The following is a 12,696-nucleotide window of genomic DNA, read 5'->3' as shown; positions in this document are numbered from 1 at the left end:
TTAAAAAGTTAATAGATTTAAAGAAAACTATCAGAAGCACCATCCTGTGCCTAGGAGCACAGATTCTGCCGCCATCCTGCCCAGATTTCCATTCTGGCTCCACCACTTACTAGCTGTGTCCCTGGGGCACCTTTCTTAACTTTTAGGTGTCCCAGTTTTCTCATTTGTAAAATGGAAATAATTGCATGTCACCTCCCAGTGCCCCAGTCACTTCCCCTCTTCCTACAAATATGTTCGGTGTAGCACCTACCCAGAAAAATCTCTGCTCTTGACTGTCAGCCCCTTCACCCAACTAACTGCTGGTGCTCTCTCTCCCTTTATACCCAAGCAAGAACATCTACCACTCCACCATTCAACTGTGAGTTTTCTGCAATCTGGATTTTCTACTTAGATGTTCTACTCATCTTATCTAGAAGCAAACTAATTTATCATCCCCTACCCACCAAATGCCTGACTTCTCATTTCTACTAACGGTCCTCTCTCATGCACCCAGGCTTGGCATCATGTTTTTCGATGCTTCATCCTCACCCATGACTAATCATTCTCAAGGTTTGTCTAGGGTTCCTCAGGAAAACCCTTCTTGTCCATCTTTTCTGTTCTTACCTCATGACTCCCCACACACAGTAAGGTCCATGGGGACAGAGGCAAATTCTGAAATTGTCACAGGTCTACACCTGATACCCAGTGAAGGCTTCCGTACTTAGTAGGCTCAATTAATAAATTAATGCGTGCCTGACTTACTATAATAATCTCCAAAATGAATTCCTCACTCCAGATGCCTAAGCCTCCAATCCTTCCTGCAGTTACTGATCTTTCTTAAAATGTCCATTCTGCAACTTGTCTGTTCAGACATACTCATTAACGTATTCAATTCGGGTAATCACTAGTTATAAAGTACTACAGGTGGTACTGGGAGACAGTGAAAGAAGTGGGACAAATCCTCTCCAGGTCTTCAAAAATGTTTTATGTGCAGAAATATGCCATGTAAATATTTATAATAAAAGGTACAATCTGATAAACCTTCTAAACAGAGGTTCTCATCAGCAGGTGGCTTTTAAGAAAGAGAAGCAGAAGAAAGGAACGGGGGCATACCAAGCTGAGAGAAGGAGGTGTGTAACACCCTAAGAGCACAGAAGTATATTCAGGAAACATTCCAGGGGCAACGTTACAGGTCAACTTGTGTCCCCTCAAAATTCTATGCTCAAATCCTAACCCCAGTACCTCAGAATGTTACCATCTTTGGAAAAAAGCTTTGCTGCACACATAATTAGTTAAGATGAGGTCATCAGGGTAGGCACTAATGCAATATGACTGGTGTTATTATAAAATGGAGAAATTTAGACAGAGACAGACACACACACAGGAAGACCACCGTGTGAGAAAGAAGGCAAAGATAGGCGTAATGCAGCAGAAGCCAAGGAATGCCCAAGATTGCCAGCAAACTACCAGAAGCTTCCCACACCAACCAGAATGGGAAACATCGATACTCACCGAGCATTGGATAAACTACACAGGACTACACTGCTCCCATTTGTGAAGAATAATTATCATTAAACACTGCACTGGTCCCACCTAAAAAATCTCAGAAGTAAGACTCAAAGATCAAACTATTTCTAAGTAACCCGACTGTTCCAGAACAAAAGCCAAGAAAACTTACAGAAGAAATACAAAAATACTCGGCACCCGACAAAGTGAAAATTCACAATGGCTGGTACACAATAAAAAATGTCCAGGTACGCACAAAAGCAGAAAGACACAACCCATACGGGTGGGGGAAATCAATCAATGGAAACCAATCAGGAATTGATACAGCTGTTAGAATTAACAGAAATGGACCCAAACAGGTACTGGCCAGGAGCGGTGGCTCAATCTGTAATCCCAGTGCTTTGGGAGGCTGAAGCAGGAGGATCTCTTGAGGAGTTGAAGGTTGCAGTAAGTTATGATTGCACCAATGCACTTCAGCCTGGGCCCCAGAGCAAGACCCTGTCTCTAAAAGAAAGGGGAAAAAAAAAGACATCTCCTACCCTGGTCTATGGTTGCGGACAGTGGCTCACACCTGTAATCTCAGCACTTTGAGAGGCCAAGGCAGGAGGCTCCCTTGAGACCAGCCTGGGCAACACCAAGAGACTTCGTTTCTACTACAAATTTAAAAATTAGCTGGGCTTGGTAGTGCATGCCTGTAGGTCCCAGCTACTCAGAAGCCTGAGGCAGGAGAAGATTCCTTGAGCCCTGGAGTATGAGGCCCCAGTGAGCTACAAAAGCACCACTGCACTCCAGGCTGGGTGACAGAGTGAGACCCTGTCTCAAAACAAAAAACAGAAACAGGTACTATAACTGTACTCCATGTATTCAAATATCTAAGGGATGTCATGGAAAATATTTTTAAGACACCCAAATTGAACTAGAAATGAAAACTACAGTTCAGGCATGCTGGCTCACACCTATAATCCCAGCACTTTGGGAGGCTGGGACAGGAATATCACTTGAGGCCAGGAATTCAAATCCAGCCCGTCATAGCAAACAGAGACATAGGAAGACCCTGTCTCTATTTTAAAAAAAGAAAGAAGAGGAGGAGATGATGAAATAGAAATGGAAATAAAAACTACAATGTGAATGATAAAAAACACAAAGGGTAAAACTAATAAAAGGTTAGATAGTACAGAAAAAAGGACTAGTGACCTTGAAGACACAGCAATAAAAACTACCTCAGAATTCCAAATGAGTACTCAACAACTGAAATTGGATGTCAAAACAGAAGAGATTTTAAAAAGTTAACAGACATTCACTGAGTTCTGGGACAATCTCAAGCACCCTAATAATATACATGTAACTAAAGTTCCTGACAGAGAGGAGAACCCAAAAATTTTGAAAAACTAATGGTCAAAAATCTTCCAAATCTGATAAAAACTACAAACCCATAGATCTAAAAGTTCAACAAACCACAAGCACAAGAAACACAAAGAAAACTAAACTAAGGTACGTAATTATCAAACTGCTAAAAACCAATGATAAACAGAAAAATCTTAAAAACGGCCAGAAAAAGAGACATATTATATACAAATGAATAAAGAAGATTTTCTGTAAGAAACAATGCGAGAGAGCAGATGGTGCAGCAACATTTTTAAATTACTGAAAGAAAAAAGTGTCATTTAGAGTTCCATACCCACTGAAAATATCTGTCAAAAAAAAAAAAAACAGCAAAATAAAGGCATTTTCAGATACCTAAAAGGTGAAAGAATACATCATTAGTAAATACGCACTACAAAAAATGTTAATAGAAATACTCAGGATGAAGGAAAATGAAACTAGATGGAAATATGGACCTATACAAAGGAATGAAGACCAGAAAAGATAACGAAATGGATAAGAATACAGGAATTCTTATTTAAATCTAAGTGTTTAAACAATAATAGTAATGTAGTGTAAGGTTAATAACATATGCACAAACAAAATCTATTTTAAAGTCAGTAAAAAGGACAGTAGTAGAGAAATAGAAGAATACTATGGTATGGTCAATACACTATACGTGAAGTGATCTAATATCCTTTGGAAGTAGACTGTGATAAGATAAAGAGAAACCACTAAATTTAAAAAACAAGGTTAAAATGAATAAACCAATAAAAGGAAGAAAATCAAATCATTTAAAAATTTCAATCAATCCAAAAGCAGAATAAAAGACGGTAGGAGAAAAAGAGGAAAGGGGAAAAACAGACAACACAAATAGGAAATAAATAGCAGGATGACAGATTTAAACCAAAACATACCAATAATCACATTAAACACAAATGATCTAAATACCTCAAATGAGAAGCAGAGATTTCAGACCAGGAACAACAAGAAAAGCAAGTCAACTATATGTGTCTGTAAGAAATAAATTTCTAATACAAAGACATTAATAGATTAAAAGTAAACATCTGGGAAAAGATATATCATGCTATCAAAATTAAGACAGAATGGCTATATTATCAAAGAAAGTATGCTGCAGTCTGAAGAATATCACGAGATGAAAGTTATTTTCCAATGATAAAAGTGTCAAATCACCAAGAGAACATACTAAATCCTGAACATCTATGAACCTATTAACAGAGCTTTAAAACACACAGACCAAAAAAAATGATAAAACTACAACGATAGACACAATTATATTAAGAGATTTCAATATCCGTCTCTCAATATTTGATAGAACAAGTGGAGAGAAAATCAATAAAGATATACAAGATCTGATCAACACTACCGACCAAGTTGACCTAATTAACATTTAGAGAATATTCTACCAAAGAACAGCAGAATATACATTCTTTTCTAGGGACAAAGCAACTTTAACCAAGATAGACAACATTATGGGGTACAAAACAAACCCTAATAAATTAAAGGAAATCGAGTTATTCAAAATACGTTCTCTGGTGACAAACTAAATCAGAATAAAGTAACAGAACCATGTAAGTAAAACAAAATAGTCCTAAATAACCACAACTCAAGGAAGAAACCATAACTCAAAACAAAATAGTCCTAAATAACCACAACTCAAGGAAGAAAGCAAACAGCAAATTATAAAGCATTCTGAAAAGAATGAAAATAAAATATATCAAAATTTTTGATACAGCTAAGACAATAGTTACGGAGAATATTATAGCATTAATCATCTCTATTAGAAAGGAAAAGAGTTCTTAAATCAATGGCTTCTGCTTTTTACCTTAATACACTAGAAAAAGAGCAAATGAAGCTGGGCGCAGTGGCTCACGCCTGTAATCCCAACACTTTGGAAGGCTGAGGCAGGCGGATCACTTGAGGTCAGGAGTTCGAGACCAGCCTGATCAGCATGGTGAAACCCTGTCTCTACTAAAAATACAAAAAATTAGCCAGACGTAGTGGCACACAACTGTAGTCCCAGCTACTCAGGAGGCTGAGGCAGGAGAATCACTTGAACCCAGGGGGCGGAGGTTGCAGTGAACCGAGATCACACCACTGCACTCCAGCCTGGGAAACAGAGTGAAACTCCGTCTCAAAAAAAAAAAAAAAAAAAAAAAGGAGCAAACAAAATCAAAGTCAACGGAATAACAAAAATAAGGATCCAGAGTAGAAATCAACAAAACAGAAAAACAGAAATCAATAAAACCCCAATATCTTTCATGAACATAAGATATAAAAATTCTAAACAAAATTGTAACTATTTGAATCAAACAATCAAAATAAAGACCATCATAACAAAGTGACCTTTATTTCAGCAAACACTATTATCAGTTTAACATTAAGAAATCAATCAGTACAATTCATCAAATTAACTAAAAAATAAAAACCATGTGGTAATCTCGGGAGATGCAGAAAAAACATTTGACAAATCCAACATCCATACTTGACCTAAAACAAACTTTCATTAACTAGAAATAGAAGGTATCTTTCCCAATCTGATAAAGCAGCGGTCCCCCAAACTTTTTGGCACCAGGGACTGGTTTCATGGAGGACAGTTTTTCCATGGGGGGAGATATGGTTTCAGAATGAAAAACTGTTCTACCTCAGATCATCAGGCATTAGACTCTCATAAGAAGCACGCAACCTGGATCCCTTGCATGTGCATGTCTATGCGAGTCTAATGCTTCAGGTGACGTGAAAAGAGGCAGAGCTCAGGTGGTAGTGCTCGGCACCTCCTGCTGTGCGGCCCAGTTCCTAACAGGCCTCAGACAGTACCAGGGGTTGGGGACCCTTGTGATAAAGGACACTGACAAAAAAACTCTACAGCTAACATACTGTTTGATCCTCTAACATAAAGAACAAAACAGAATGTCCTCTTTCACTACTTCTATTCAACATTGTAGTCTATGTTCCATATATATTCCACATTCCATAGAGGTTGGAGCCAATGTAGAACGGCAAGAAAAAGAAATACATACAAGGTAACCAAACTGGAAAGCAGAAAAATTGTCTCTCATCATAGGAAATGTGATTATCTAGATAGAAAATGTGATGGAACCTACCAAAAAGCTGCATTATTAAGTGATTTTAGCAAGGTCACAGAATACAAGGATATATTTATATCAATTGTATTTCTATGTGCTAGTACTGTAACTATATATCAGAAACTGAAATTTAAAAGCCATTTAAAATAGTGACAAAAATATGAAATACTTAGGCATAAACCTGACAAAATACATGAAAAAACTGCATACTGAAAATTAGAAAAATGAGAGAAAGGGCTAAATAGATATATGTGCACGGGTCCAAAAATCAATACAGTTAAAGTATCAATTCTTCTGAAATTATCTATATATTCAACACAACCCCAATCAACATCCTAGCAAACTTTATTGAAGAAATTAGCGAACTGATTTGAAAATTCATATGAAAATGCAAAAGACCTAGAGTAGTTATAAAAACTTTGAATAAGAGGAAAGTTGTAGAATTAAGACTACCTGATTGCATTAATTATTATTAAGGCCACAGAAGGTCAACACAATATGGTATTGGTATCAGGACAAATAGATTAATGGAACAGAATGGAAAATCCACAAACAGACCCACACATATATGGAAGACTGATTTTTGACAAAGGTGCAAAGGCAATTCAGTGGAGAAAGGACAGTCCTTTTGACAAATGGTTCTACAATAAATGAATATCCATTTGCAAAAAAAAGTGATCTTTGATCTATACTTTGCAGCACACTATTAACAAACATTAACTCCAAATGGACCACAGACTTAAATATAAAACCTAAAACTGTAAAATCTAGTGGGGAAAAAAACAACAACAAACATAGGCAAAAACGTTTTTGATCATGGGACAATTATGCAAAAACTTTCCAAAAGCAGCTTTCATAAAAGAACAAATGAATAAATTAGGCTTCATAAAAATTGAAAACATCAGATCTTCAAGACACTTTTAAAGAGAATAAAAAGACAAGCCATGGACTAGGAGAAAAGCTTAGCAAATCATGTATTTGATAAAGGATTTGTATCAAATGTATAAGAAACTCTAAAAGCTCAATAACCGAAAAAAGAATGACAAAAGATTTGAACAAACACTTCACCAAACACGACATACAGGGGGCAAAAAAGTACATACAAAGATGCTCAACAACATTAATCACAGAGAAACACAATGAGATATCACTACCCAAGTATTAGAATGGCTAAAATTAAAAAGGCTGACCACCAAATATGGCAAAATGTGAAGCAACTGAAACTCTCCTGAACTGCTGGTGAAAATGTAAAACGGTACAACTACTTTGTAAAACCATTTAGCAGTTTCTTTAAAAGTTAGGCATATACCCACCACATGATTGAGTCACTCCAATGTTAGGAAATAAAGAGAAATAAAAACATATGTCCATACAAAAAGTTGTACAACAATATTCATAGCATCTTTATTTGTAATAGACAAAAACTGGAAACAACCCAAATGTGCTTCAACAGGTAAGTGGATAAACCAAAGTATATACACACAATGAAATACTACTCAGCAATAAAAACAGTGAACTACTGATAGGTATCACAACACATATGACTCTCAAAAGAACTAAAACCAGGCAAAAAGAACACATATAATCCTGTTTATATAAAATTCTGGAACAAGTGAAGTAATAAATCTTCATTATCTGACTTGTGGTAAAAGTTTCACAAGTAATACTTGTCAAAATCCATCAAATTGTATACTTTCAATTATGTGAAGTTTACTGTAGGCCAATTATAACACAATAAAGCTGTTTTAAAAACTTTTAACCCATTCAAAACCTGACTCTAAGTACAATCAATCCCTTCCCTCCACTCCACAAAAAAATCTGCTTCTCCTACAACATATCTCGTTTTAGATGATGGCAACTCAAAAACCCCTTGAAATTACTCAATACCACATTTTCATATTTTAAAAATCAAAGAAATGTCTATTTTGAAACTTGCAAACATTCATGGAGGGCATGTGTTTTTAAAAAACACATTGTGAACCACTGCTGTAAAAAATTCAAAAATCCCCCACTTTTTACAAGAAAAACTTCAAAGTCTATACTATCCACCACTTAGGGCCCTCAACAACATAGTCTCCTCTACCATCTACCTTAGTAAATGCAATTTTCGAACAGGCCCCCATCTTCAACTGGTATAGCATCTTCCACACCCTGTAGCCTTCAAACATCACCTGTTAAAATACTGCCCATTCCTCAAGACCATATGAAATACCATTTTCGCCAAGAATCTTTTCCTAGTCCCAATCCAAAAATTTCTCCCTCTTCTGAATTTCCACCTCTCTTACAGCATGGATACTCCATACTCCACCATGTCATATAGTTATGTAAAGACATATCCACCTCTGTTAAATTATAAATTCTGTATCTAGGTCCCCTCTGACTGGTTGAATAAAGCATTTCTGTAAATTTATTTTAGAATACATGTTCAGTATATATGCCTGGGGACGTGTGATTAAGAATCAAATGTTATGGTTTAATGTTGGTTTTCATTCTTTACTAGTCTGTAAGATTGTCCAGTTAGCTTGTCTAATTTTACTATGCTCTTAAATAAAGGCCAGAACAATTAAAGGGATACACTTTACAGAAAATTTAATACAAACATCTAAATTCACATGAATTATTTTTGGCATCCGTGTTTCAATGCTTTAGGGCCAATGGGAGGGACAAAAGAAGGCAAAAGAGTCCTATGCTTTAACCATCAGACACAAAAAGTGGACAGCCCTGCTTCCAACAAAACCAAGTGACAAAAAGCCAGAAATGGTGCTAGCTGGAACAGTAAGACACCAGGTCTTATTTCAAGGGAATGACACAAGCCTGCCTGGAAGCTGGGGCACTGACACACCTAAGGCCCCGGAGTCCTTGATCACTGTGACCACTTACATTTGACAACTGAATACCAGAAACATTACTTTTGCTCACCTATTCCTCACCCTAAAATGCTCTTTCTTCTTATTACTCTCTAGCTGTTTGAAACCTAAGTGATATTTAAAACCTTAACACAAATTCTATGGGCTTCCTCTTTAACCCTTTCCCAGACTCTCAATCCATTTCCCATGTCCCTATCATAAAAAGGCCTAGAATTTTTTCCCCTATACCCTTCCAGATAAATCCTTACAGCACTTTTCCATATGGTCATCTTGAATTTTTAATCTAACGTCACATGTATTTATTCTTCACCTCATGTTCCTTAAACAAAGAACTGATTTTTTTTTCTGCAGAACCTACCATCTGACAGTACCAATAAAGACTTCACATACACCAACATAACGGTACAAGCAACAGTTAAAACATCTGACTTCAATTAGAAAAGTAATAGCAGGAGGTAGTGAATAACAACCTGATCTTCAAATTCAACAGAAGAAGAACAGGGAATTCAAGTTTATGCTCTTATTTGCTAGACTACACAGGCAGTACAAGATAAATTCTGCCCAAAAGCTTGCAACATTTTATTAAATACAAACGTGTATCTTTATAAAAGGTCAAAGTCATAAGAAAAATCAAGCATGCTACTTACTACAAGGGTACTGTTTCTGATCTGAAAAAAATGATCAGTTTCACAGTTTTAGGAAACCTGTGCATAGTGCTGCTACCTGAGTTATATTTTAAGAGACAAAGCTAAAGTATTTTCCTTTTGTGTTATGAAGTATTTAAGATTTCATACAACTTAATTTCTAAAATGTAATACACATATTTTGGTTACAGTTATTTAACAGAGCAATTAAAGCCTTATTTCCACTTCTGTTCTAAAATCCGCCTGCCCGCAGTGAGTGGGAACTGCTGCAGATCATTAAACGCTCATTTATCAATGTCTCTCACCAGGCAACACAATGCAGCAGAACAGCACACAGAAACCATCCCTGAACCCCAGCAACAGCGGCTAATTAGCATAGCCTACCACTAAACCGACACCATATGATTGGAACTGTTAGTCAGGATGCTAGCCAATCAAACTAGGTTATGCAAATAGCCTATTTTAGTTGCCAGGGCAAAGCTACTTCCAATTGTCCAATAGGAAAACAAGCAATAAACAAGAAATGAAATTGAGCTTTGTCACATTTTCAACTTGCTGTTAACACTTTCACGTTTAGAACAAAATTAACACCAACTATAAAAGACTAGAAACATATTCTACTTTACTCCAAAGGCGATCCCATGGAATAACATGCAGAACACAGTTAAAGTAGTGCATTTGTTGTAATTTTAACTTTTTACTATATAGACATGTGAGTTTTTCTAACAGATGCTGCCATCAACATTTCAACTTTTTTCCCCACCTACTCAAAAGCATTATGTAAATGTCTTTCTATACATTAAAATAGATTCTCAAACATTACATTTTAGAGAAATCACACAAAGCATGTTTATTCTATAATGGAAAGACTAAAGAGGTGGGCATAACAGAAAGCGTGGCTCACTGAAGTCTCAAGTATTCCCAGGTGGAGGAAAACTAACATTTGGTTTATTACGACAAACTTTAATATATAGCTTCAAAAATAATTTTAAAATAAAACCCAATTAAGTATTAACCTATAGAGCTTAAAATATGAAGACTGAGACCAAGTAAATAATACTCATATCTGGGAACCAAGTTCAGTTAAGATGTAACTGTAAATAAAAGACATTACATTCATATGCAAAATGTCTAATAATGAATAAAACATTAAAAACTTCAACTGTGTCAGTACATACTAACAGCTACAAAGATAGTTTTAAAGAACATCAGTGTTCTGACAATTCTGAGTGGTTGAGAGTTTCTTTAATCTCACATATTCAGAGAAATGCTTTGAAACATGTCAAGGAGACACAGTTCCCATTTGTGCCTTATAAAAGATACAATTTTATTTTAAAATAGATCAACTTGTCCCACCTAGCCTAGCAATTATCTCCTCCTAAATAGAGTACAGATTCATTCCACATCATGAAAAATTTCATGATTTTTAGATATTTTTCCATAGAGTGTCTATAAACGTCTCCAGAAAGACGTCTAGCATTTGTAAAGTATATTTCATTAAGACAGAGTAGATTTCAAGCATCAGATTCCAAGAGAAGAGCATGCTGGTCCTATCCCTAACACTACAATTTCTCTTCTCCTGAAGCCACTTTTCCACCATCTCTAAGCACCCATCACCCACACCTGTCCCTTAATTTCTTCCCATGTTCTCTCTACTCAGGAATTCTGGAACCCGTTAAAGTCCAATGAAACCAAGACTGGAAAAGTCAGGTTCTAAAAGTCAGAAAAAGGATCAATAACTCTAAAACTAGAAGGAAACTTAAAAATAATCTAATATTAACCCCCCCATCCTAGAAACAAAGAAACTATATTTTTAGAAACATAATGCGTAAGATCCCACAGATAAAAAGCAAAGCTCTCGCAGAATCCATGAATAATCAATATTTTAGTCACACATCAATGTCTCTTGGTTTCTTGTCCATATGAAAATTTGTTTAAATGTAAGCTTTCATGAGATTAGCTCAGGATCATTCACGATACTATCATCTACACACTACGAGTCAAGGCTTAAGACAGGTTTGAAAATCACTGTCGAAACCAAAGTATTTAATCCATTCCCTGAAAGACTCAATCTCAGCCCTTTAAACTTCACAACTTTTGGTACATTTTTGAACTACTTGGAACCTGCATTAGCCTCCTTTAATTCCGAAGGATAAAGGTAAGAGAGAAATAAAAGGGAAAGATTTTAAAGCCAATTTCATTCATACTCTTACTCATGAATCTTTAATATTTTGGTTTGTTCTCCCAGGTTCTTATTCCCTCCATATAGATAAAGCAATCCTAACTCAGCCTGGGCATTTTCCATGTCAAGGGACTGTTTCCTGGTCCACCTCTTAAACATTTTTTGTATCACAAAACTTTCCCCTTCTTGAAAGGGACAAATATTAAAAACTTGGCACTCCTACTTTCCTTTGGGGACTAGAGACATAAGGAAACATCATCTGCCTAGTGACAGATGCTCTGGGATAATCCTCAATTTAAATGTTTAGCTTAGCATCAGTTCTTTTTAAAGTTACTTAAATTATGGAGTTTAGGAAAGTACCAAAAAGTACTACTTTTAGAATCAGAAATTAAACATTAAACATGTTTTAAAATAGTTAACTTACTAAACTAAAATCTTCATTACATATATATATATATATATATATTTAGAATTCCTAGTAAAGAAAGTAAGTTTTCTAAGTATACAATTAATCATTAACTTTTTTTTTTTTTTTTAGATGGAGTTTTGCTCTTTTGCCCAGGCTGGAGTGCAATGGCGCGATCTCGGCTCACTGCAACTTCCGCCTCCTGGGTTCAAGCTATTCTCCTGCCTCAGCCTCCTGAGTAGCTGGGATTACAAGCTTGCACCACCACACCAGACTAAAACATACAATATACTGATTACATTTTCTCCCCTATAAGAAATATTTTTAGAATAACTGTTAACTTTTTTTTATCTGCAGTTAATGATGCTTGAGACACGGAAACAGCCTCTATCCTCTCAATGTGTAATAGCCATTATTATGCCCAGTAATGTATTAGCCAAGATCATCTCAAATGACAAATCATACCATACTAACAATTTTATATTTTAGGTAGAAATAGAACACAGCTTTATAGTTTTGAAAAATATCAAGTGGATAAAATTTTTCAATTTGAAGCCATCTTATTTGGAAAAATATTCAAAAGTCTGGCATGACTACCTTGGTCAAGTTTTTAATACCTCATTCTCTAAAGTGAGGCTGCCAC

At 35.9% G+C, this 12,696-nt stretch overlaps 1 protein-coding gene across 7 annotated transcripts in view, besides 2 other annotated features; it reads right to left on the bottom strand.

Annotated features, from left to right (window-relative positions):
- Positions 1 to 12,696, bottom strand: part of DYRK1A (dual specificity tyrosine phosphorylation regulated kinase 1A) — a 160,786-nt gene that overhangs the window by 81,201 nt on the left and 66,889 nt on the right. The window lies entirely within an intron of this gene.
- Positions 8,803 to 11,084: an enhancer, noted in NCBI's record as "VISTA enhancer hs2333". NCBI's record gives its function as "enhancer in: hindbrain (rhombencephalon)[7/7] | forebrain[5/7]" and the evidence as "EXISTENCE:transgenic organism evidence [ECO:0001131][PMID:17130149]".
- Positions 9,499 to 10,127: an enhancer, noted in NCBI's record as "OCT4-NANOG hESC enhancer chr21:38807333-38807961 (GRCh37/hg19 assembly coordinates)". NCBI's record gives its function as "activates a minimal SCP1, AML or CMV promoter by ChIP-STARR-seq in primed H9 embryonic stem cells {active_cell/tissue: H9 hESC(primed)}" and the evidence as "EXISTENCE:reporter gene assay evidence [ECO:0000049][PMID:30033119]".

This window comes from Homo sapiens, chromosome 21 (genome assembly GCF_000001405.40).
Source record: "Homo sapiens chromosome 21, GRCh38.p14 Primary Assembly".
Taxonomy (NCBI): domain Eukaryota; kingdom Metazoa; phylum Chordata; class Mammalia; order Primates; family Hominidae; genus Homo; species Homo sapiens.
Note: the sequence above shows the minus strand (reverse complement) of the source record. Positions and strands in the feature narration are given on the sequence as shown.